This window comes from Homo sapiens, chromosome 6 (genome assembly GCF_000001405.40).
Source record: "Homo sapiens chromosome 6, GRCh38.p14 Primary Assembly".
NCBI lineage: Eukaryota > Metazoa > Chordata > Mammalia > Primates > Hominidae > Homo > Homo sapiens.
Window position 1 is genome coordinate 43,079,832 of NC_000006.12, and position 24,425 is coordinate 43,104,256.

The 24,425-nt window shown below is 46.9% G+C and overlaps 1 protein-coding gene across 10 annotated transcripts in view, besides 9 other annotated features; it reads left to right on the forward strand.

Moving 5' to 3' along the window:
• PTK7 (protein tyrosine kinase 7 (inactive)) overlaps window positions 1-24,425 on the forward strand; it is an 85,402-nt gene that overhangs the window by 3,518 nt on the left and 57,459 nt on the right. The window lies entirely within an intron of this gene.
• Window positions 1,674-1,877: a silencer, noted in NCBI's record as "fragment chr6:43049243-43049446 (GRCh37/hg19 assembly coordinates)". NCBI's record gives its function as "represses an EF-1alpha promoter that drives an FKBP-Casp9 reporter gene in an ReSE screen in HepG2 liver carcinoma cells and K562 erythroleukemia cells {active_cell/tissue: HepG2 | K562}" and the evidence as "EXISTENCE:reporter gene assay evidence [ECO:0000049][PMID:32094911]".
• Window positions 2,912-3,478: an enhancer, noted in NCBI's record as "H3K4me1 hESC enhancer chr6:43050481-43051047 (GRCh37/hg19 assembly coordinates)". NCBI's record gives its function as "activates a minimal SCP1, AML or CMV promoter by ChIP-STARR-seq in naive H9 embryonic stem cells {active_cell/tissue: H9 hESC(naive)}" and the evidence as "EXISTENCE:reporter gene assay evidence [ECO:0000049][PMID:30033119]".
• Window positions 3,479-4,044: an enhancer, noted in NCBI's record as "H3K4me1 hESC enhancer chr6:43051048-43051613 (GRCh37/hg19 assembly coordinates)". NCBI's record gives its function as "activates a minimal SCP1, AML or CMV promoter by ChIP-STARR-seq in naive H9 embryonic stem cells {active_cell/tissue: H9 hESC(naive)}" and the evidence as "EXISTENCE:reporter gene assay evidence [ECO:0000049][PMID:30033119]".
• Window positions 9,796-10,389: an enhancer, noted in NCBI's record as "NANOG-H3K27ac-H3K4me1 hESC enhancer chr6:43057365-43057958 (GRCh37/hg19 assembly coordinates)". NCBI's record gives its function as "activates a minimal SCP1, AML or CMV promoter by ChIP-STARR-seq in naive H9 embryonic stem cells {active_cell/tissue: H9 hESC(naive)}" and the evidence as "EXISTENCE:reporter gene assay evidence [ECO:0000049][PMID:30033119]".
• Window positions 10,390-10,984: an enhancer, noted in NCBI's record as "NANOG-H3K27ac hESC enhancer chr6:43057959-43058553 (GRCh37/hg19 assembly coordinates)". NCBI's record gives its function as "activates a minimal SCP1, AML or CMV promoter by ChIP-STARR-seq in naive H9 embryonic stem cells {active_cell/tissue: H9 hESC(naive)}" and the evidence as "EXISTENCE:reporter gene assay evidence [ECO:0000049][PMID:30033119]".
• Window positions 10,985-11,578: an enhancer, noted in NCBI's record as "NANOG-H3K27ac-H3K4me1 hESC enhancer chr6:43058554-43059147 (GRCh37/hg19 assembly coordinates)". NCBI's record gives its function as "activates a minimal SCP1, AML or CMV promoter by ChIP-STARR-seq in primed H9 embryonic stem cells {active_cell/tissue: H9 hESC(primed)}" and the evidence as "EXISTENCE:reporter gene assay evidence [ECO:0000049][PMID:30033119]".
• Window positions 16,128-16,227: an enhancer, noted in NCBI's record as "active region_24589". NCBI's record gives its function as "activates an Ori minimal core promoter by ATAC-STARR-seq in GM12878 lymphoblastoid cells {active_cell/tissue: GM12878}" and the evidence as "EXISTENCE:reporter gene assay evidence [ECO:0000049][PMID:35858748]".
• Window positions 16,698-16,767: an enhancer, noted in NCBI's record as "active region_24590". NCBI's record gives its function as "activates an Ori minimal core promoter by ATAC-STARR-seq in GM12878 lymphoblastoid cells {active_cell/tissue: GM12878}" and the evidence as "EXISTENCE:reporter gene assay evidence [ECO:0000049][PMID:35858748]".
• Window positions 16,808-16,897: an enhancer, noted in NCBI's record as "active region_24591". NCBI's record gives its function as "activates an Ori minimal core promoter by ATAC-STARR-seq in GM12878 lymphoblastoid cells {active_cell/tissue: GM12878}" and the evidence as "EXISTENCE:reporter gene assay evidence [ECO:0000049][PMID:35858748]".

Below are 24,425 nucleotides of genomic sequence, written 5' to 3' on the forward strand. Positions count from 1 at the left end.
GAGGATCGCTTGAGCCCAGGGGCTCAAGACCAGCCTTGGCAACACAATGAGACCTCCACCTGTACAAAAAAAAAAAAAAAATTGCCAGGCATGGTGGCACGTGCCTGTGGTCCCAGCTGCCCAGGAGACTGAGGTGGGAGTATTGCCTGAGCCCAGCAGGTTGAGGCTACAGTAAGCCATGATTGTGTCACTGCACTTCGGTCTGGGTGACAGAGTTCAAAAAAAAAAAAAAAAAAAAGGGCAGGATGCAGTGGCTCACGCCTGTAATCCCAGCACTTTGGGAGGCTGAGGTGGGCGGATCATGAGGTTAGGAGAGCGAGACCATCCTGGCTAACATGGTGAAACCCCATCTCTACTAAAAATACAAAAAATTAGCCAGGCGTGGTGGCAGGCGCCTGTAGTCCCAGCTACTTGGGAGGCTGAGGCAGGAGAATGGCGTGAACCCGGGAGGCAGAGCTTGCAGTGAGCCGAGATTGCACCACTGCACTCCAGCCTGGGTGTCAGAGCGAGACTCTGTCTCAAAAAAAACAAAAAAATCTGTAAATTACTTGTAATACCTATTACAATGGAAATGCTATGTAAATAACTGTTGTATTCTTTAATTTGTATTCTTTTTTATTGTTGTATTGTTTTTAATTTTTATCTTCCCCCAGTGTTTTTGATCCTCTGTTGAGGGATGTGGAGCCCAGGGATAAGGAGTATATCTGGCAAAGCAGCAACTCAGACTCATTGGCAGGCCCTGTGGCCCTGGATGAACCTCTTAGCTTCTCAGCCTCTTCTATAAAGGGACATCCTAGAGTTGTGCTGAGGATTAAGTATAATGAAGTAGGCCGGGTGCAGTGGCTCACATCTGTAATCCCAGCACTTTGGGAGGCCAAGGCAGGCGGATCACCTGAGGTCAGGAGTTCAAGACCAGCCTGGACAACATGGTGAAGCCCCGTCTCTACTAAGAATACAAAAATTAGCTGGGTGTGGTGGCACACACCTCTAATCCCATCTACTCAGGAGGCTGAGGCAGGAGAATCACTTGAACCCGGGAGGTGGAGGTTGCAGTGAGCCGAGATCGCGCCGCTGCACTCCAGCCTGGGCGACGGAACGAGACTCCGTCTCAAAAAAAAAAAATACACACACACACACACACACACAGCCCTTTCTTGGTCTTCCCTCTGTGGTGTGCTTCAAAGATTCCTTCAGCTTTACAGTCATTCCCAACAATAGACATTTTACCTACTGGGACCCTCCATTCCAGTCCAGCTGGAATATTTGCCATCTCCTAACACATATCTGGTTTTCTCCCACCTTTCTTTCCTTCGGGCCAGTCCCCGGTTGTACATTGCCTTCTCCTGTCTCTCTGTTGCCCAGCCCCACCGCCTCTTCTTCCCTGAAGCTGTCCTATCTCTCCTGCCAGAAGGTAGACACTGTAGAACTTCTGGACTGTCATTCTTGCGACACCATCCATATTTTTGCCCCTATTGGGTTTTGTTTTAATTTACTGAGGGGCTCTCCCATAGAGTTTAGTACAGTACTTATTTATAATGGGTTCTTATGTAGGTGGTTTTTTTGTTTGTTGTTTGTTTGTTTTTGTTTTTTTTGAAATGGAGTCTGCCTGTGTCTCCCAGGCTGGAGGCATTGGCACGATCTTGGTTCACTGCAACCTCTACCTCCCAGGTTCAAGTGATTCTCCTACCTCAGCCTCCTGAGTACCTGGGTTTACAGGTGTGTGCCACTGCACCCAGCTAATTTTTGTATTTTTAATAGAGACGGGGTTTCCCCATGTTGGCCAGGCTGGTCTCGAACTCCTGACCTCAGGTGATCTGCCCACTTCAGCCTCCCAAAGTGCTGGGATTACAGGCGTGAGCCACTGCACCCAGCCGATATAACAGGTCCTCATATAGGTTTATTTAAAAAGTGAATGAACCATTTGGGTGCAGGGCAGAATGATCAAGGGTGGAGTTAAATATCCCCTTGCATCCTAGGCATGGGGAGTCTTTTGCACCCTCCCCAGCTTCTTTGAGTTGGGGTTGCCTGTTCCTCCTTGCGCCTGCTCTACGGTGACCAAATTAAGGATCAGACCTTCCTTCCCTGATCCTGGGCTGGCTGGTTTTGGTGGTGGTTTTTCTCAGTTTTGATGTGGTGGGTCTTCTAGCTTTCTCCAAGTTCTGTGCGTGGGTAAGCACCGCTACGTATGAAGCTGACTGCAACTTAAAAACTGGTGCTAAAGTTGCTTCCTCAGAGAACTGGGTAGGGGCCTAGAGTATCTATAACTGTGCTACTTGAAGAAAGACCCAGGGCCACGTGGCATCAGCATTCCTGGGAGCATGAATCAGAATCGCAATCTGCAATTTATTTATTTATTCTTTTTGAGATGGAGTCTCACTCTGTCGCCCAGGCTGAAGTGCAGTGGCACGATCTTGGCTCACTGCAACCTCCACCTCCTGGGTTCAAGCGATTCTCCTGCCTCAGCCTCCTGAGCAGCTGGGATTACAGGCGCGCACCACCACGCCAGGCTAATTTTTTTGTATTTTTAGTAGAGACAGGGTTTCACCATGTTGGTCAGGCTGGTCTCGAACTCCTGACTTCATGATCCGCCCACCTCAGCCTCCCAAAGTGCTGGGATTACAGGCGTGAGCCACCGTGCCCTGCTGCAATCTGCATTTTAACAAGATGCTCAGGTGACTCTGTACCCCAGAGTTCCAGAAGTCCTGGCCTAGGCATCCTTCTTTATACAGAATCTCAAGGCACAGAGCTTTCCTGTTGCAACAGTATAAATTGGGAGCTGAGATGCTGCACAGTATTTGAAGATTTGCTTTAAATAACTCACTTTATGCGAACACTCCTTGGGGTGATGTGTACGCTTTAATATTACCTCCTTTGGGTTTAAATTGAATTAGATTTTGTCAAGAAATTTCTCCATTAAATGTGTGACTCTAGGAAGTCTGCAATATTCAGCCTGATGTTTAGCTCCTCTCAGAACCTCAGCTTTTCCTAGAGGAGAATACGGCTGATTTTATAACGAAAGCCAGTGGAGAAACTGGATTTGTTAGGCAGAAATTTGGTCGACAGACAACTTTTCAGGAATACATTTGGCTCATAAAGGGAGGCATGTCTCCGCTGGGCTTTGACAGCTGTAGTGTTGTTAGTCTTTGGAGCATTTCATATTCTGGAGTGAGGGGGTTTGTGTGAGTCTGTGTTTAAGCCAATGCAGCTTCTGTGAGACTCGTCTGGGATAGAGGTTGGCCGGTTCAGACTCTAGTGTTGGAGCCAAGAGCAGTTTGGGGCCAAGGATTCAGTCTTTGGTGTTTTCCTGATGGAAGAAAGGGTCATTAAACAAGGTTGGGTGTCCTTGGCCTGTGTCCCTCAACCTCCTGCTCTCCCTAACCTCAGTAGATGCCTCTCTGCTGCTGTGCCTGGGCACTACCCCTGGCCAGAGCCACGTGGTGGGGTTACAGGCTTGGGGCCACAGTTGCTGGCACTGGCCCTCACCTTGCCCTGGAGCTGCCGCCTGCCCTTCTCCTGATTCCTGCTCTGGCCCCCATCTGCCTGGTCCTTCTTCTGAGGGTGTGAAAGTCCTGCCATTGTAGCTGGTTAGAGTCCTATGTTGGAATTCTCTTGAGTTCACTGCTGAGCCCCCTGGCGCTTTGGTGGAGCTGGCCTGAGAGATGCCACAGCTAATCAGCGGTTTGAGGAAGCCCTCTGTAGTATGTCACTTTTTCCATCCTCTTTTCTTCTCTGCATTTAGGCCGTTTCCCTCCCAATAATGTTACACAGACAGCAGTGGGGCAGGGAGGAAGCTTGGTTCGAAGGGCTGACACACACACAGGCGCCTTTCCCCTCTCGCAACTTGGTTTTACATTGCTAAACTCTCATCTGCTGTGTGCATTAACTGGGGTATGTGTTGAGTGAACGCTCAGGTGACTAGAACGTCATCCACCAGGTGTCCTGCAGATCCCAAGCCCCTGTTAGAAGTGTAAGCCTTGATAAGCGGGATATGCACTCACAGGTTTAGGTGTGTATGTAATTTCTGAAGACAAAGTCCCGAGTCGCAGGGTAGGGATTGTAAGTTACATATTAGGAAGGTGTAGATATGTGTTTCTCAAATTAGAGTGGAGAGTATAGGGCAGGTCACCAAAGTATTGATGAAAAGTTTAGTTTCCTGGGCCTTACTGCAGACCTGCCCATCAGAATTATTGAGGGAGAGGCCAGAAAATGCATTTTATTTATTTGTTAGATTATGTTGCTGTTTTTGAATAGCTGATCCAGTTACATAGGCCAGATTTCAAAAGGAAACTGCATTTTAATTTTTATTTATTTATTTTTGAGACAGGGTCTCACTCTGTCACCCAGGTTGGAGTACAGTGGTGCAATCACAGCTCACTGCAGCCTTGTCCTGTTGGGCTCAAGTGATTCTCCCGCCTCCGCCTCCCAAGTAGCTGGGACCACAGGTGCATGCCACCATACCTGGCTAGTTTTTTAAATTTATTTTTTATTTTTAATAGAGGCGAGGTCTTGCTGTGTTGCCCAGGCTGGTGTTGAACTCCTGGGCTCAAGCTATCCTTCTGCCTCTGCTTGCCAAAGTGTTGGGATTACAGGCGTAAGCCATCACGCCCAGCCTGGAAACTGCATTTATAAAGAGCTTCCTGGAGATTCTTACCTACGCTTAAGTGTGAGAACCACTGGGTAGCCATAAGGAGAATTTATCAGTCTGAAGCGGAGGTGTGGTGTTGAGAAAAAGGGTGATATTAATAGTGGGGGGCTTAGGAGGGAGTTCATTCAAAGTGCTTCAGTGTCTTCTATGGGTGAAGCTGTCTGAGGAGGCATGGAATGCAGGAAGAAGACAAGATGGAGAAACGTGAATCAGATGAAGTATGAAAGACACCATTTGGTAAAGTGCTAAGTAGAATAGAAGAACATTCTAGAATGTGTGGGATGGTAAGTCTGAGATGTAGGAGCAAATAGGGGGTGGGAGGGCTTCAGAGAGGAGAGAAGACCCTACATTGCTGAATAGATGTAGTCAGTGACGGCCTCAGAATGATGAATAGATGTAGTCAGTGACGGCCTCAGAATGATGTAAAGTCATCGGACCAGGATTCTGAAAACCTGGGTGGTACTGTTCTAATATCACATGGCAGCCACAAGTGATGAAGTAATAGAAGAGACATCTATAGACCTGTGACACCAGTTTTTCTGTATTCTGGTCCTGGCTCAATTGCTGCATACCCACATGACCCTGAGCTGGTTAGTTAACCTTTCTGAGCCTCAGTTTCCTCGTGAGCACAATGCAAGTGATGCTGTTGCCTGCCTTGCTGGCCCCTGTGAAGTTGTGATATAATGCTCTTCAACTGTGGAAATGGGTGACCCCTGGGAAGCAGCCCCTCTGGCTAGCCCTGATGGTTCTTCCCAGAGACTGTCCTGGCCAGCCGTTTCCTTTTGAGGGGTCAGCCTTTCTTTTTTGAGATGGAGTTTCTCTCTGTCGCCCAGGCTGGAGTGCAGTAGTGCGATCTCCACCTCCCGGGTTCGCGCCATTCTCCTCCCTCAGCCTCCCGAGTAGCTGGGATTATAGGTGCCCGCCACCATGCCCGGCTAATTTTTGTATTTTCAGTAGAGACGGAGTTTCACCATATTGGTCAGGCTGGTCTTGAACTTCTGACCTCGTGATCCACCTGCCTCAGCCTCCCAAAGTGCTGGGATTACAGGCATAAGCCACTGTGCCTGGCCAGAGGTGTCAGCCTTTATTTCCAGCCTTCGGACCCTAGAATGGTTTGCCAAAGGCTCAACAAAGTCCCTCTTGACTAGCAGCCTTAGAAATGGTTTTCTCATTTGGGCTGGGTGCGGTGGCTCACGCCTGTAATCCCAGCACTTTGGGAGGCTGAGGCATGTGGATCACCTGAGGTCGGGAGTTCGAGACCAGCCTGACCAAAATGCAGAAACCCCATCTCTAGTAAAAATATAAAATTAGCCGGGTGTGGTGGCGCATGCCCGTAATCCCAGCTACTCAGGAGGCTGAGGCAGGAGAATCGCTTGAACCCGGGAGGCCGAGGTTGTGGTGAGCTGAGATTGCGCCACTGCACTCCAGCCTGGGCAACAAGAGCGAAACTCTGTCTCAAAAAAAAAAAAAAAAAAAAACATGGCTTCCTCATTCAAAAGCACAAGTTTTCTAAATGGGTCTCAGTATTCCAACAGCAGCCCAGAAATGTGGGAGCCACACACAGCCACATTTTCCTGGTGGGAATTCTCCCTCTCTCTTTGTCTCAATAGCAGATTCTCCCAAGGGGTGGGTTGGTGCTGGTTCAGGGCCACTGTCTCTCCTGGCATGCTGAGGTTCTCAGGGAGTGGGTAGTGAACTGTGCTTCAGGCAGCCTAGGCAGACTTTTATGATACCCAAGGGAGGGGTTTTTATAATCACTGGATGACTGTGGGGGTTTCCCCAGTCAGCGACTCTGTTAATTTGTGGGAACTTCTGTCTGTGCTGTGGGGAGGTTCCTGAGATTCTGTGTGGCCAAGGGCAGTGGGCTCTCCCTGGGGGTGGTTATGGGGGCCCGCATGGGCACTATCATGTACAACCTCCCCTCCAGGAGACACTCTGGCTTTTTTTTTTTTTTGTCTCCTCCTTGGGGTGGTGGCGGGGCAATGAGGGGAACGCTTGTCTGCTTTGGGACTGCTGAGGTGTCCCAGCAGCTAGCTCGTATGGTACCTTTGTGCACATTACAAATAAGTACTCCCAGTCGTGGGCGCAGTGGCTTACGCCTGTAATCCCAGCACTTGGGAGGCAGAGGCAAGTGGATCACTTGAGCTCAGGAGTTTGAGACCAGCCTAGGCAACAAGATGAAACCCTGTCTTTACAAAAAATACAAAAAAACTAGCTGGGTGTGGTGGTGCACGCCTGTAGTCTCAGCTACTCAAAGGCTGAGGCAGGAGGATTGCTTGAGCCTGGGAGGTCAGAGCTGAAGTGGGTGAGCTGTGATGTGATTGCACCACTGCACTCCAGCCTGGGCACCTGAGCGAGACCCTATCTCAAAAAAACAAAAAAACAACAACAAAAAAACCCTTCCTCCAGGTAGATGCAGTCCTGCACCAGGGTTCAGGCAGTATTTCAGTGTTGACTCTTTGGTCAGACATCTTGAGCAGTGCACAACCTGTACAGTCAAAGGTGGCTGTTCCATTGGCATGAAGGCCTTGCAGCTGTGGCTCTTTGTTTCCCAGCTGATGGGCCAAGATGATTTTGATGCCTCTGTTCTAAAGTCATGTTTCAAGTGAGCCCTCTTCACTACTGTTCTGCCTCCTATGGTGGTGGGATGGGGCAATCCTGCCTGTAACATACAATAGGAGAAGCCGGTGAGGGTGGAGCCCCATTACTGTACCCACCCCACATTGTATATCTGTGGCTGCTGAAGTCTTGACCTATTTCTGGGCCCCTTCCCTGTGAGAGGATTTTGCTGTCTTGCAGATACAGGCTCCTAGCCTTATGTGATAATTGGTGTGGAAGGCTGGCAGAATCCTTGGGAAGAGTGGGCCGCAGAGTTTATTTCACATTTTATTTAGGAGCTTTCAGTTTTCCTTTCTCTTGTTTCCTCTCTCCCTGGGGACACTAGGGTCTCCAGGTAAAGTGTGTGGGCATTCCTGATTTAGAGGAATTCCTGCAAGAGAAGTGGCAGGACCTCAGTCCCAAAGGCAGGTCTTGGGTCTTGCTGAGCTCCAGCGCTGGGTATCCTGGTGATGTTCATACCTCTTGAGCCTGAGGAAGCACCAGGAGGAGCACTAGGGTCAGTGTTGGAAGACATGGACTCTCCTTCCACATTTGCCTAAAACTGCCTGTGTGACCATGGGCAGGTCCCATCCTCTTCTCCAGGCTTCAACTTCAGAACAGAAGACCTTGGAGGGCCCTTGCTGAGGCTCACTCAGTGTGGCATCTCCAGCCTTGTTTCTGCCACACCTTACAGGCTCTCCTTACCCTGGGTTTAGGGAGAGCACTTTAATCTAAGGGCTGCTTTTTATTCTGGAGTCTCTAGTGCGTGGGCACAGATGTGTTTAGACTTGACCAACTGGTGATGTGGGTATTAGGGTATAATTTTCTGGGTGCAAAGGGTGCTGTAAAGATTTAGGAGGGAGAGTATTTGACAGGGAAAGAAACTGAGGCACAAAAGTACGATCTGCCTAGCACTACAGAGCTGGTGAGGAATAGGGCTGAAGCCAGTGTGGTGGTTCACACCTGTAATCCTAGCACTTTGGGAGGCCAAGGCGTGAGGATTGCTTGAGCCCAGGAATTTGAGACTAGCCTGGGGAACATAGCGAGACCCCATCTCTACGGAATAGAAAATAAAAGAAAAATTAGACAGCAGCGGTGGCACGTGCCTGTGATCCCAGCTACTTGGGAGGCTGAGGTGGGAGGATCACTTGAACCTGGGAGGTCAAGGCTACAGTGAGCCAAGATTGCACCACTGCACTCCAGCCTGGGCAACAGTGAGAGACCTTGTCTCAAAAAACAAAGGTAGAAAGCTGAGACCAGAGTGCCAGTCCCTCCTGTGCCTTCACTTAGAGTCCTTGTATGTCCAGGTGTTACTGTGCTATGATATGCTGCACACGTGGCCAATTGCCGTGGCTCATACCTGTAATCCCAGCACTTTGGGAGGCCGAGGCGGGTGGATCATGAGGTCAGGAGTTCAAGACCAGCCTGACCAACATGGTGAAACCCAGTCTCCACTAAAAACACAAAATAAGCCAGCTGTGGTGGTGCATGCCTGTAATCCCAGCTACTCGGGAGGCTGAGGCAGGAGAATGGCTTGAGCCTGGGAGGCAGAGGTTGCAGTGAGTTGAGATCATGCTACTGCATTCCAACCTGGGTGAGAGTGAGACGCCATCTCAAAATAAATAAATAAATAAATAAATAAATAAATAAATAAATAAAGAGTTATGGTGAAACTATATGTAATCTAAAAGGCTAGAACACTGTGCCTAAATCCCGATGGCTTGAGCTTTTCTCATGAACCCATGAGTCCTTAGCCTCCTCCTCCTGGTGCTGCTGGAAGGTCACAGGCAGTTGCAGGCCCTGGCTTGTAGGTGCATTCCAGACTATTGCTTCCTGCTGGGAGATGTATGCTGAGCAGTGCTGTGGTGGAGACCACGTAGGAGGTAATAGAGTCATCCCCATAGTGGTTAATAGAGTTAGCCACCTCATACTACTTTTGTGTAGGTAGATGTGCCCACGCTTGGTGCTCCAGGCCCTGCCTCATAGTAGGGGCCTAATGATGTAGATTTCCCTTTAATTTCTGACTTTGGAGTCAAGTCTTTTAACCCTCAGGAGTGTTCAGGTGAGGTTGGATCATGACCTTGACATTCCGGGTGATGCCACTTTTCTTGTGCCAGGTGTATCTCTCTTTGGCTGAACCGTTGACCACTCTTGGTGATTCCACTGAGTTTGTTCTTCTGCTTTGGAGGTTCTCAGACTCCAGTGTGGGAACCTATGTTCTGTCAATGAAGGATGCAAAGGGACAACTCTAGTGATCTGATTCCATTGTAGCTCATCTGTTTACAAAGCTGGGCTGTTTCCCACCTAGAAGAAGAGGGAGAAGGCTCTGTCAGGCCAACAGATCCTTAGAGAGTGCTAGGATGGCATTTGAGATCCAAACCTAATTTCCAGCCACCTGAAAAACAAAACAAATCACAAAGAAAACATTGTCTTACAGCCTCAGGGGGGAGAAAAAAAGGAAATGCTGTCGATCTCTTAATAGTTCCAGCACAAAGAACAAAGCATTCTATCAGTTTAGTTCCTTTAGCAGATTAAACCAGTTGTTAAACTGACCAATTAAAAAAATGCCCAGCTACGCAGCAGCTTTTCTGCCCACGATCTGAGCTCCTCCTCTACCCCAGGGATCCAGGCCTCTTACCGGAGGAGTACTGAGGGGAGGGGGCTAGGCTGGGTCCTGGAACAGCCCTGGAGACCTGTAGGAAGGTCTCTCTCTCTCCTATCCCCCCTCCCCTTTAGCAAAACTTCTTAGAACAAAAGGCTGTTATTTAATAAACACCTGCACCCTGTTTTGATGGAGTGTCCTGAGCTGTGCCATGGACTGGGAAAAACAGGGTGGGGACCTTGTCCTTTGTTACTGCCTATGTAAGAGGCTGGGGTGCTCTCAGGGGTTGTACAGCCTCCTGTGTCTTTCCTTACCCTCTTTACCTTTGCCTGAAGGGCCTTTGAACATGGCTTGAGAGATCCTGCGGAAGCCACCAAGCCAGCTTGCTCTGTCTCCAGACAGCAATTTTAGGCGAGTCTCTACTTGGGCCTTTCCAAGAGACTCCCTTTTCCAGGCACTGCACAGCTGCCGCTGGTGACCCAGAAAGGGGTAGGAGAGCGTGGGCTCAGCCTAGCCTTGGTGCAGGTGGCACCGCTCTCTGCCCCTTCCCACTCTGCCTGGATCAAAGGAGCCTCCTCAGGGAGCAGGAAAATACTTCTCCCAATAGCCCCACCAGTGAGTAAACAGCCGGGGCCTCTTGCAGCTTTTGAAGCTGGTGCTTCAGGCCTGGAGGAATGCAGAACATTTCATTTTAGGGGTGGACTTAGGTTTCCACTGCTGTCGGTATTTGCAAATTTGAAACAAATGCCCTCATTTAGCAGCAGGCAGGCTGAGCAGTAAACTGGGGCTGTTTAAGGGCGTTTATGATGGTCACAGGTATTTGTGGAGAGAGGGACCCCAGCAGGTTTGGGAAAAGATAGAGGGTTTATGGTTAGGTGGGTTGTACAAAGACCCTAGCCAGGTCTCCAGTGGAGGTTGTTGTTAGGTGGGCTTTGTCATACAAAGCATTGCTGCCTCCTGCTCCCCCAGGAAGTATCTCCTTCTGGCAGACAAAGGTTTGGGATGGTGTTTATCCTCAGGCTCTGATGCTCAGGGCCTTGTCCCTCCCGCTTGGTTGCCAAAGTATCAGATTTCCAATGAATCCTTCCTTCTTCTACTCCCAGGACCTGAAAGGCTCGTTAAATGTGCTTTATATATAACAAGTTGGCTGAGAGGTTCCCCCCTCACTTCCAGCCAGTTTTGTAAGGAAGGAGCTAGGGAAACCTGTTTTCTTTTTTTTTGTTGTTGTTTCTGGAAGTAGGACCTGTGAAGGTGCACTTGAAGAAAGACCCTGATTTTAGGGATCAGCCAAGTCAGGGTTATTTGCCTCTGATGGGTCAGCCTAACCAAGAAGGATCTGTCTGAAGCCTGGCTGCCCCCTCCTTGCTCCCCGCTTCCCAGGGAAATTCAGAAATCTGTTCAGGAACTGACTTCTGGCTCCACAGCTTACTGGCTGAGAGACCTTAGTTTACTTCACTTCTCTGAGCTTCGGTTTCCTCTTTTTTTTTTTTTTTTTTGTTTTGGAGATGGGGTCTCACTCTGTCGCCCAAGCTGGAGTACAGTGACGTGATCTTGGCTCACTGCAATCTCTGTCTCCTGGGTTCAAGTGACCCTCCTGGCTCAGCCTCCCAACTAGCTGGGACTACAGGCCCACACCACCATGGCTGGCTAATTTTGTATATTTTTGTTTTAGTAGAAATGGGGTTTCACCATGTTGGCCAGTCTGGTCTCCAACTCCTGACCTCAGGTGATCCACCCACCTCGGCCTCTCGAAGTGTTGGGATTACAGGCGTGAGCCACTGCGCCTGGCCGGTTTCCTCTTTTGTAAGATAGGAATAATAATACCAGTCTCGTTAGAGTTCTTGCAAGAGTTGAGTGAGATGGTACTGCATTTCATTAACTCTTAGATGTTTTTTCTTTTCACATTTGCACATCTTTGAAATTGGGATGTAACTTATAATTAATTACGGTAGTCACCCCTTATCTGTGGTTTCATTTTCTGTGGTTTCAGCTACCCATGGTCAAAAAATATTAAATGGAAAATTACAGAAATAAACAACTTACAAGTTTTAAGTTTTATGCCATTCAGAGTAGCATGATAAAATCTCTTGATATCCCACTCCATCCCGCCCAGGACATGAATCATCCCTTTGTCCAGTTTATCGAATGTCAGGGTATCAGATGCTTGGGTTCAAGTAACTCTTTTTTTAATTTATTTTATTTTTGAGATGGAGTCCTGCTCTGTGGCCTAGGCTGGAGTGCAGTGGCGCGATCTCAGCTCACTCCAACCTCCACCTCCCGGGTTCAAGTGATTCTCCTGCCTTAGCCCCCTGAGCAGCTGGGATTACAGGCACGTGTCACTACGCCCAGCTAATTTTTGTATTTTTAGTAGCGATGGGGCTTCACCATGTTGGTCAGGCTGGTCTTGAACTCCTGACCTCGTGATCCACCCACCTCGGCCTCCCAAAGTGCTGGGATTACAGGCGTGAGCCTCTGTGCCCGGCCTACTGTGCCTAATTTATTTATTTGTTTTTTAGAGATATGGTCTTGCTCTGTTGCCCAGGCTGGAATGCAGTGGTGCAATCATGGCTCACTGCAGCCTCGACCTCCTGGGCTCAAGTGATCCTCCCACCTCAGCCTCCCAAGTAGCTGGCACTACAGGTGTGTGCCATCACGCCCAGCTAAATTTTTGTAGGGATAGGCTCTTGCTCTGTTGCCCAGGCTGATCTTGAACTCCTAGACTCAAGCAATCCTCCTACTACCTCAGCCTCCCAAAGTGCTGGGATTACAGATGTCAAGTGCCTAATGTATAAATGAAACTTTATTGTAGGTATGTATATATAGGCATAAAACATAACATTTGGGGGTTGTTACTACCTGAGGTTTTAGGCATCCACTGGGGGGTCATAGAACATATCCCCCCCAGGATTGGGGGGACTACTGTATATAACATTGTGCCTTAGTTCAACTAGTACCACTTTGTCCTCTTGGTGCACATAAATAATGGAGCATCTTCTAAATTCAGTATATGTGAAGGACTTAGTCTGTGATACTGTGAATGCTCAGTAAAAGTTGGCTATAACTGTGATGGTTATCTGTGGAGGTTATAACTGTGATGGTTATCTGTGGAGGTTATAACTGATGGTTATCTGTGGTAGTTATAATTGTGATGGTTATCTGTGGTGGTTATAGCTGTGATGGTTATCTGTGATGGCTATGACTGTGATGCTTATCTGTGATGGTTATAACTGTAATTTACAGGCCTAGTTTTGCTTCCCATCTACCAGTAACTTTCAATAAAACCTGTTTTCCTTTTAGTCTGGCATGTAAATAACAAATGATGCTTAAGGCATAAAGCATCATGCTAAGTATTGTATGCATGTGTGCATGCTGATGGCAGGGGGGCGGGGTGACTTTAAGTCTTTATAAGGCAAGAGATGTTTACAAGAGGAGGTAGGTGTCCCTAACAAGGCAGACAGTCTATCTATTATGGAAAGAATACAGTGACTCTCTAATGATAGGATCTCCTTTTTTTTTTTTTTTTTTTTTTTGAGACGGAGTTTCACTCTTGTTGCCCAGGCTGGAGTGCAACGGCACAATCTCAGCTCACTGCAATCTCCACCTCCCAGGTTCAAGCGATTCTCCTGCCTCAGTCTCCAGAGTAGCTGGGATTACAGGCGCCCACGACCACGCCCGGCTAATTCAAAGTCTCCATTTTGAAAGGCTGAGCTGGGGGACACTGGAGGTTCACTCCAGGAATGGATTGCTGGTAGGTGAATCAAGACAGAATCTGGAGAGAGTGATTAACAAGACAAGGATACAGAGAAGACCAAAGAGAGGCACACAGTAAATGTCAGGAGCTCAGAGGATGGAGACCTGGGTCAGGCAGGCAGGAGACGGACAGGAGATGCTAGCGTTTTCTTCCCCAGCAGCACACTTGTGTGGGGCTGATTCTAACTTTGTGGAGACAGCTGGTTGCCATCCATTCTATTTTGTGCTACCCAAGCATTGCTGAATGCCATTGTCACTGGTAAAGGGTCATGACTGTGAGTGTCTAGGTTCTTTGTGTTTTGAACAAAGAATTGGACAAAACCCCCAGCAAAGCAAAGAAAGAATGAAGCAACAGAAGAACGAAGGCAGGGATTTATTGAAAATGAAAGTACACTCCACAGTGTGGGAGCAGACCCAAGCAGCGGCTTAAGGGCTGGGATACAGAATCTTCCTGGACCCAAATACCCCCTAAAAGTTTCCCACTGGCCACTTCATGCAAATGTCATGCTCCTGTGCAAACATCTCATTGGTTAGAAAAAGCAACCAGTCAGAGGCTAGGGTGAAGTTAAAGTTATACTTCTACGCAAAGGAAGACTGGGCCAGCAGTCAGTCTGATTGGTTGTGGACAGCAACCATTCAGAGGCTGGAGTAAAGTTACAAAGTTGCAAACGAAGACAGGATTCGCACTCAGTATGATTGGCTGCAGACAGCCAATTTCCCATCTGCCTGGCAAAAAAGTTCAAAGGGAGTAGTAGCCTCTGCTCTTTTTGTTACTTAGGCCTGGAAAGTAGATAGGGCTTTCATTTCAATTTAGTTGGAGGACGTCGGTGTGAAACAGCCTTAGATTCCCTGCCTGCAGACCCTGTTCTCCTGCCTCACCAGTTTTCCCCCTTCAGTCACGTTGTAACTTCCCAAAGGCTAAGGAATTCTTTTTTTGGTTGCTTTCTGGTTCATTTGATGGTGGGGTGGTTTGGTTATGGGGTTTATATGGTAGGTGAAGAGACAAAGTTGTGTCCCTTTTGTATGAATATCAAAAGCAAATTTTTTTTTTTTTTTTGAGACGGAGTCCGTCTCGTCGCCCAGGCTGGAGTGCAGTGGCACGATCTCGGCTCACTGCAAGCTCCGCCTCCTGAGTTCACGCCATTCTCCTGCCTCAGCCTCCCGAGTAGCTGGGACTATAGACGCCTGCCACCATGCCTGGCTAATTTTTTATTTTTATTTTTCTGTATTTTTAGTAGAGACGGGGTTTCAGCGTGTTAGCCAGGATGGTCTCGATCTCCTGACCTCGTCATCCGCCCGTCTCTGTCTCCCAAAGTGCTGGGATTACAGGCATGAGCTACTGCGCCCGGCCACAAAATTGTTTTTTAAAATAGATTGCTGGCCAGGCCACGGTGGCTCACCTGAGGTCAGGAGTTCAAGACCAGCCTGACCAACATGGTGAAACCCTGTCTCTACTGAAAATACAAAAATTAGCCAGGCGTGGTTGTGGGCACCTGTAGTCCCAGCTACTTGGGAGGCTGAGATAGGAGAATTGCTTGAACCGGGAGGCGGAGGTTGCAGTGAGCTGAAATCATGCCACTGCGCTCCAGCCTGGGCTACAGAGCGAGACTCTGTCTCAAAATAATAATAATAATAAATAAATAAATAAAAAGGCCGGGCGCAGTGGCTCACGCCTGTAGTCCCAGCACTTTGGGAGGCTGAGGCAGGCGGATCACCTGAGGTAGGGAGTTCGAGACCAGCCTGACCAACATGGAGAAACCCAGTCTCTACTAAAAAAAAAAAAAAAAAAAAAAAAGTTAGCCAGGTGTGGTGGCGCATGCCTGTAATCCCAGCTACTTGAGAGGCTAAGGCAGGAGAATCGCTTGAACCTGGGAGGCGGAGGTTGCAGTGAGCCAAGATTGTGCCATTGCACTCCAGCCTGGGCAACAAGAATGAAACTCTGTCTTAAACAAACAAACAAACCAAAACAACAACAACAAAAAAACCCACAGTAGATTGCTGTGTAGATGCGTGTGTCAAGCCTTCTACCTGTTCACTTCTGTAGGCTTAAGCACTTTACCACATATGGGTTTCGGAAAGCATTCTTTCTGCGTTGTCACTGAGGCCCAGGAAGGAAAGGGGCCAATTTATGGAAGGCAAGAACTTAAGAGTCCCAGGGGCTAGGAGACTCAGCCCCTCGATTAAGGAATGCTCTTCTCCGCTTCGGTTGGCTTCCTATGAGAGTGTTTTGAAGAATAAGGTATTGTATAATAGATGGTGTGCCTTAAATGATGGGGAAGAACAGCATTGAAATGTTCTTCCTGATTGTTTTAAGAAAATTGCAGTGCTCTTTTTCTAAAAGATGGATGTACAGCTAAGGGCATTTTTGATGCAATACAACTTATTTTTGGAGGCCCTCTAAGATACAATGAGAAACTTTTTTCTGTTGGGGAGACTGATCTTGTCTTCATTGTCCTGTGAGGGTTGAAAGGGACCATGGTTTCTTTTAAACCAAGTCAACAAATACTTCAAAGCCCTTTTTATATCTAATGCAGCTACACAGATATGTGTAAGCTCTCAGTAGTCCTGAGTTCAGCCAGTTGCCTAGTTTGGGTCTAATGCCCTCCGATTCCATATTTGTATCCACAACCAAGAAAGCCTAGAGAGAGCCTGCATGGACCTCTGTGGGTCTCCCGCCAGCGGCTGGCCTCTCGGGTGAAGATGTGGCAGCTGAATTAACAGCTGCCTGTTCTGGGCCAGGCCTGCTATCTCAGCCTCGGGGAGAGGTGTTGATCAGGCTGACAGGGCAAGAAATCCCCCTGAGCCTCAGGTTGGAGAGAAATTAGTTAAAAGTTGCTCTCAGACTCCTGAAAAACTGCTTTCAGTTTTTGCTGCCAAAACAGAACTTCGAAAACGGTGTAAATTGGGTTCTTCACACTGTCTCCGTTTTTGTCACTTCCTTGCAGTTGGTGAAGGAGGACCGGGATCCAAGGGAGCTTTGCGGGTTCTCTTTCTGAGTTCCTCTGGAACCTGGCCTCAGGTGAAGGGGAGGTGGGGGTGGGTGGTGACCGGACAAGCCTTTGAGGTGCCTGGAACTAAGCCCCATTCCTTAGATCAAATAAATACCTTTTGTTTTTCCTGCTCACACTTTCCTCTGCCCTGGAGCCAGAGTCATAAAGAGGTGGAGATGTGAAGGTCTGCACCTGGTCGCTGGGGTGGTAGGTGGGATGGAGAGCTTCCCTTGTGCTCTGCACTTCCTGCCTTTTGCTGCTGCCCTGGGTGTGCAGGGGTCTGCCTGGGCTAGCCTGGGCACCTGCGGCTGTGCTGGGCCAGCCTGCCTGCCTGTCCGGTAGGGCCCTGCCTGAGCTGGGCTGTCAGCAAGCTGGTGAAACCGGCTGCACAAAGACGGATTTCACTTCAGGCTAAGTGTTTTGTTGCTGAATCATTTGCATTCATTAAAAGTAGTGAAGGGTGAGTGATATTTAAGGCAACATGACCAGTTTGCTGGGGGCCTGGAGGCCGCTGCCTTAGAACCTCATTAAGAATTCTTGGGGCCGTGGAGAGCAAGGGAGCAGCTCATTCAAAGCTTGCTTAACTTTTGACTGCCTTGGGCATAGGCCAGCTACTAAAATATGAAAAATGTTTGCCCAGCAGCCCCCAGAGCTTGGCCAGACTGCCCTGGCCAAAGAAAACACACACTTACAATTCATTATTTAGCCTCCTCCTGCGCGGTTGCTTGCATTTCTTCCTCTCCAGGGACCTTGCTGAGTTGGGGGCACCAGGTTGGGTGGGGGGCAGGAAGGCCCCTGCATCTTTTAAAGGGAAGCTAAACCTGAAGCCGGTGCTGTCTGTACTCCCTCACCCCATCCTGCCCCCACTTCCCTGGTTTATTTCACCAGTGCCCTACTGGTGGACTTCAGGTTTGTTTCAGAGGGTTTCCTATTTTAAACAATGCCACCACAAATATCCTTGTACCTGTCTTTGTCCTTGTGCTTGTATATCTGTAGGACAAATTCCTGGAAGTGGAGTTGCTCTGTCAAAGGATATGAACGTGTCAAAATTACATAGACGATTTTGTATTTGTTATTTTTGTGGAGAGGGAGATTATAGCTTTCATCAGATTCTTAACAGGTCTATGACCAAAAAAGTTTCTGAATCACTGCTCTGCAGTGGGCCTGTGAAATTTGCACAGGATAATCTATAAATATTGGTAAACATAGTTCAAATGCGGGGCATTGCTGGGTTGACCAGATAATTTGTCATCCAAACATCCCCACCTCCATGATTACTAAATATGCCGAGATGGCCAGATAACCCAGGGTTGTTCAGGTAACTGGCAGTGTGGGAGCCCAGTGCCCACTGGAAATCTTATCCCTGATCTCTGAGACTGTGTTCTCTGTTCACCACCAGTTAGCGCTGAATTAGCTGCTGCTTTCTGTTTTCCATTTTATCAGGTATGTTCTTTTTGTTGCCTACAACTCGATGGTAAGGTTGATCCAGTGGGTCAAAGTCTTGTCCTTGGTTTTCCCACACAGCCTAACCCTGCCTCAGCTGCCCAGTGGTAGCTCAAGACGTTTTTGGATTCCAAAGACCAGAATTCAGTTGAACTTTTCTGAACTGTGTTTATTCATCTGTAGAATGGAAATGATAATATCCGCCTCATGGGTTACGGTGAGGGGGTGAGGGTCTAGTGAGGTGTGTGTTGCAAGGGTTGCTGTTGTGGGAAGTGAGCTTGAGAGACATTCAGCATGAGCCCCCAACTCCTCCTCAACATGGACTTTGGGGGCCCTTAAGGCACTGCTTGCTGCCTAGCTTTGTTTATTCTTCTTCTCCATTGGTTAGTATGCCCTTCACTGCTCTCAAATCTATTCCCTCTCCTTTAATTGCCTAGTCCTGGGCTTAGTTCACGTCCTGTCATTTCTCTCTTGGAATGCTGCTGGAAAAAAGAAGCAAACTTTTTTTTTTTTTTTGAGACAGCCTCGCTCTGTCGCCCAGGCTGGAGTGTAGTGGTGCAATTTCAGCTCACTGCAACCTCTTCCTCCTGGGTTCAAGCAATTCTTCTGCCTCAGCCTCCCAAGTAGCTGGGATTACAGGCGCCTGCCACCATGCCTGGCTAATTTTTGCATTTTTAGTAGAGATGGGGTTTTGCCGTGTTGTCTAGGCTGGTCTCGAACTCCTGACCTCAGGTGATCCACCCGCCTCAGCCTCCCAAAGTGTTAGGATTACAGGAGTGAGCCACCGCGTCCTGCCAAGTCAAGATTTTTTAAAAGTAGTAAACGGTATGCTACTAGAATTGAAAAGCAAGAAATATGCTTTGCAGATCATAAGAGGTGAAGAAACTAAATAAAATCATATTTACAACAAAGGAAGCATTATAATATTAAAATGTGAAACAGATAAAAGCAAAGACAGATATATCAGTCATGATGATAAATTTCAGTGGAATAAGTCTCCAACTGAAATGGAGTTTAGATTGAATAAGAAAGTTTCATGTTCTTTACATAATACAAACCTAAAATAATGGCAAAGTTTGTTTTATTCTTTTTTCTAACTTTAGGCCAATAGATTAATTTATTTTCATTTATTTCAGTCTCATTTTTTAGGAAATAATTTACGATTATTAATTTTCTTTTGAATACAACTTTGAAATTAATAAATTTGAAATTAAAAATATAAAATAGATAAGTCATTTAGGATCCAGTACTTAAAAAAAAAAGGAAAAAAAATGTGACTTTGGCAATTCTAATGTAGAAAAATAAAAGGACAATAGGTAAAACAAAGAAAAAAAAAGAGGCTTTAATTTCATTCATAGCTTCCCAACTATTTTTCCTTTTTTTTTTTTTTTGAGATAGGGTCTCACTCTGTCACCCAGACTGGAGTGCAGTGGCACAATCATGGCTCATTGCAGCCTCGACTTCCCAGACTCAAGCAATCCTCCCACCTCAGCCTCCTGAGTAGCTGGGACTACAGGCAAGCACCACCATGCCTGGCTAATTAAAAAAATTTTTTTATAGAGTCAGGGTATCACCATGTTGCCCAGGCTGGTCTCAAACTCCTGAACTCCAGCAGTCTGCCCAAAGTGATGGGATTACAGCCATGAGCCACTGCGCCTGGCCCACAGCTATTTCTTGAGTACATTCTAGGTACCCAGTAGGTACTAGGGATATAGATAGAGCAGGGAATGGGATGAAAAAATTCACTGTCCCCAGAGAGCTTACCATTTAACAGAGGGCTACCATTTAAGGAAATGTATACTAATAATTAGATTTGTGATCATTGTGATAGGAAAATATTTTAATATTTATCGGGGTTACCATGTTTGGTGCTATGCTAATAAATCTGTGCCAGGGAAATATAATGACTGAAATTTATTAAAGAATCTGGCTGGGGGTGGTGGCTTACACTTGTAATGCCAGCACTTTTGGAGGCCGAGGCAGGCAGATCACTTGAGTGCAGGAGTTCGAGACCAGCTTTTGAGACTCCATCTCTTTTTTTTTCTGAAATGGAGTTTCACTCTTGTTGCCCAGGCTGGAATGCAATGGCACGATTCTCCTGCCTCAGCCTCCCAGGTGTCTGGGATTACAGGCATGTGCCACCACGCTTGGCTAGTTTTTTGTATTTTTAGTAGAGATTTAGGGATTACAGCTGTGAACCACTGCACCTGGCCTGAGACCCTGTCTCTTAAAAAAAAATCATGACTGGGCATAGTGTCTCAGGCCTGTAATCCCAGTACTTTGGGAGGCTGAGACGGGCGGATCACGAGGTCAAGAGATGGAGACCATCCTGGTTAACACAGTGAAACCCCGTCTCTACTAAAAATATGAAAAATTAGCTGGGCGTGGTGGCGGGTGCCTATAGTCCCAGCTACTCAGGAGGCTGAGGCAGGAGAATGGTGTGAACCCAGGAGGCGGAGCCTGCAGTGAGCTGAGATCACACCACTGCACTCCAGCCTGGGTGACAGAGCGAGACTCCATCTCAAAAAAAAAAAAAAATCATTAGGGTTTTTTTAAAAAAAAATGATAGACATTACTACTTGTAACTTTTTTTTTAGTCATATTTGAAAAAGTAGAAAATTGAACTGTAATTTGATTTTTTTCAAAGATGTCTGTTAAATCTGTTTTGATTTTATATGCATTTTTGTCTTTATAGTTTAAAACTGATTTTTTTGGGAATACAGCTGAAGTTCCCAAATACTTTATAGGAGTTTATGAGATATCTTTAATTTGGCCGTGTCCAATTTATATAATTTCCAAAATACTGCAGATTGTGAACAGGGCATTATACAAGATCACGGGGGAAATCCTATATTCAGAGTACTCTACAAATTTGTGTGTATGTGTTTGTGTGGTTACCAGAGAACTACCAAAAACCAACTGCTTTTTAAATCCTGCTGTGTAGTTCAAGTGTCTTGCCTTGACCAATCTAATGAGTTGATTAGCTGGTCCTTAATACTTAACTAAATGAAAAACTAAGCAGATGTGAAAAAAAAAATTAAAATGACTGGATAGACAGTAACTCTTAAAAACGATTGAAAGATAGTTGTATCACTGGGTGCGGTGGCTCACGCCTGTAATCCCAGCACTTTGGGAGGCCGAGGCGGGCAGATCACTTGAGGTCCAGAGTTCGAGACCAGCCTGATCAACATGGAGAAACCCCGTCTCTACTAAAAATACAAAATTAGCCGGGCATGGTGGCGCATGCCTGTAATCCCAGCTACTCCGGAAGCTTGAACCCGGGAGGCGGAGGTTGCTGTGAGCTGAGATCGCACCATTGCACTCCAGCCTGGGCAACAAGAGCGAAGCTCTGTCTCAAAAAAAAAAAAAGAAAGAAAGAAAGAAAGAGGCTGGGCGCGGTGGAAAGAAAGAGGCTGGGCGCGGTGGCTCACGCCTGTAATCCCAGCACTTTAGGAGGCAGAGGCGGGCGGATCACAAGGTCAGGAGATTGAGACCATCCTGGCTAACATGGTGAAACTCTGTCTCTACTAAAAATACAAAAAATTAGCCGGGCGTGGTGGTGGGCACCTGTAGTCCTAGCTACTCGGGAAGCTGAGGCATGAGAATGGCATGAACCCGGGAGGCAGAGCTGGCAGTGTGCTGAGATTGCGCCACTGCACTCCAGCCTGGGTCACAGAGCAAGACTCCGTCTCAAAAAAAAAAATAAAAAAAAAAAGAAAGATAGTTGTATCAAATAGTTTTGAGGGAAAATTTTGAAAAATGTTGAAGAAGTAGAGCCTGTAAATGCTTTGTAGAGACTGTCACAGAGCCAAGGAACAGATGGACAACAGCCTGTGTGTGTCACAAAGTTGATATAGCTTTGTTCTCAAATGCTGACAGTGCAGAAAACCACACTACTTAGAAACGTTGGTGTAAAAGTCTAATATAGAATACTTGAAAATTAAATCTAACACTATGATAAACGGTAATGTGCCATAAACAAGTAAAGGATGTATTCCCAAAAATGCATGGGTGGCTTACCCTTTATAACTCATCAACATAAGACGTCAGAGGTGGCTGGGCGTGGTGGTTCACGCCTGTAATCCCAGCACTTTGGGAGGCCGAGGCGGGCAGATCATCTGAGGTCAGGAGTTTGAGACCAGCCTGGCCAACATGGTGAGACCCCGTTTCTACTAAAAAAAATACAGAGTGCCACTTGACCCTCTGTGTCTTGCAGTTGATTGGTGTGCTTGCCTCCAACTCTGGAGGTGGGTGGTTCCAGCCCGTTCTTGGGAGCATCTCTTGGCCAGGTGAGGTGGCTCATGCCTGTAATCCCAGCACTTTGGGAGGCCGAGGTGGGCGGATCACCTGAGGTCAGGAGTTTGAGACCAGCCCGACCAATACAGTGAAACCCCATCTCTACTAAAAACCCAAAAATTAGCTGGGCATGGTGGCGGGCGCCTGTAGTCCCAGCTACTTGGGAGGCTTAGACAGGAGAATTGCTTGAACCCGGGAGATGGAGGTTGCAGTGAGCCAAGGCCGTGCCACTGCACTCCAGCTTGGGCAACAGAGCAAGACTCTGTCTCAAAGAAAAAAAAAAATTAGCCGGTTGTGTTGGCGGGTCCCTGTAATACCAGCTACTTGGGAGACTGGGGCAGGAGAATTGCTTAAACCCAGGAAGTGGAGGTTGCGGTGCATTGAGATCCTACCACTGCATTCCAGCCTGGGCAACAGAGCAAGACTTTGTTCCCCCTACCCCACCAAAAAAAAACCAAAAAAAAACAAACCAACCGCAAAGGTGTCACACAATTCTCTCAATAGAGGCAAAAATGACACTAGATATAAATTAACATCCATTTCTGATTAAAAAAACAAACATAGCCATCATTATACTTAAAAATGAAATACAATGCTATTTGCATTAAAATGAAGTTACTAAATTAAAATAATAAAGTCACTACTATTTATTATTATTTTAGCTGAAATAATGCTATAAGAAAGAATATAGCCAGGTGGCGTGTACCCATCGTCCCAGCTAGTTGGGAGGCTGAGGTGGGAGGATTGCAGCTTGGACAACTAAGCAAGACCCTGTCACTTACAGGAAAAAAAAAGACTGAAAGTCTAAATAAAGTTCATGTTTTTTGCAGAGGTACCTTTTTTACATGGGAAACCCAATTATCAACTGAAAAACTACTACAATCAGTGAGAGAACTGAGTCATTTGGGCAAATACAAAACCTACACAAAACCCAGAAGGTTTGCTGCTTATCAGCAAGTAACCATTTAGAAAATACAACAGGAACATTTATCCATTCACAGAATCAATAAAAATAAAAACAAAATGCTCAGGCATAAACCATTATAATGGAAACTGTATTGACAGCACCAGTAAATACCCTTCTCCCTTCTGAGTTTAAAACCAGTCGAAGGGGGTGAAAGAGAGGGAGAAAAACAGACAGACCAGGGATTGGATGATGGAGATCAGAGTATCACTTTTATTTGTTTTAAAGGCTAGGTTGAGCAAGCAACAAGGCTTTAATCTGAAGTGGATAAATGTCTTATTCATCCTTGAGTTAGGCAGACTTACTCCCTTGTCATAGCAGTGCTGGAGTATTACAGGTGTGTGTGTGTGTGTGTGTGTAGCCACCTATAAAAAATGTGTGCTCCCTGCAGGTGGAGCAGACCCCCCACTCCCAAGTGAAAGGAGGAAGGATCGGAGTCAAATATGCCCAATCAGACATCCCCCCACCTTGGGGCTGATGGAAGGAGGTGGAGTGAGGCTGGGAGTGATGCTTCAGTTACATCCCCCTTTACCTGGAGTGGGGAGGAGTTGTTCTTCCTTAAAACTTCCTTTGTTCTCTGAACTCACAGCCTTAACCTTTGAAGGCACTGGGTGCCTGGGGGCATGACTCTTCCCTCCAGGGAAGGGGCACAGCTGTCTGGCAACTATTCCTGCTCCACCTTCACTAACCACACTGTTCCTTTGGTGAATCCTTCTAGGACACCTGGAGAACAGAGTAGATTTTCCCTAGAAGGCTCTCAAATGGATCAAAATAGGACAGTATTTAAATTAATTTTGAGGCAAGTCTGCACCCGGGGTGAAAATCTCACTCCCATCTGTTTTCTCAAATCATGTGCAAACACTTTTTCTTCTTCGGTGAAGTAACGATTAGGAACAGGAACCTTCACTGTCTTGTTCACTGCTGTATTCTTAGTACTTAGAGCAGTGCCTGGCACATATAAGTCATTCAGTAATTTAATGACTATTCTGGAGGAGGGAGGGTGAGTGCCACATGTAATACAGAAAATCAGATCTTATATTTCTGATCTTATTAATTACAAAATAATAATAAGGTAACAGTAAGGAAAATAAGGCAACAAAGTTGAACATAAAATGGACAATAAGAAATTTAGGGCAA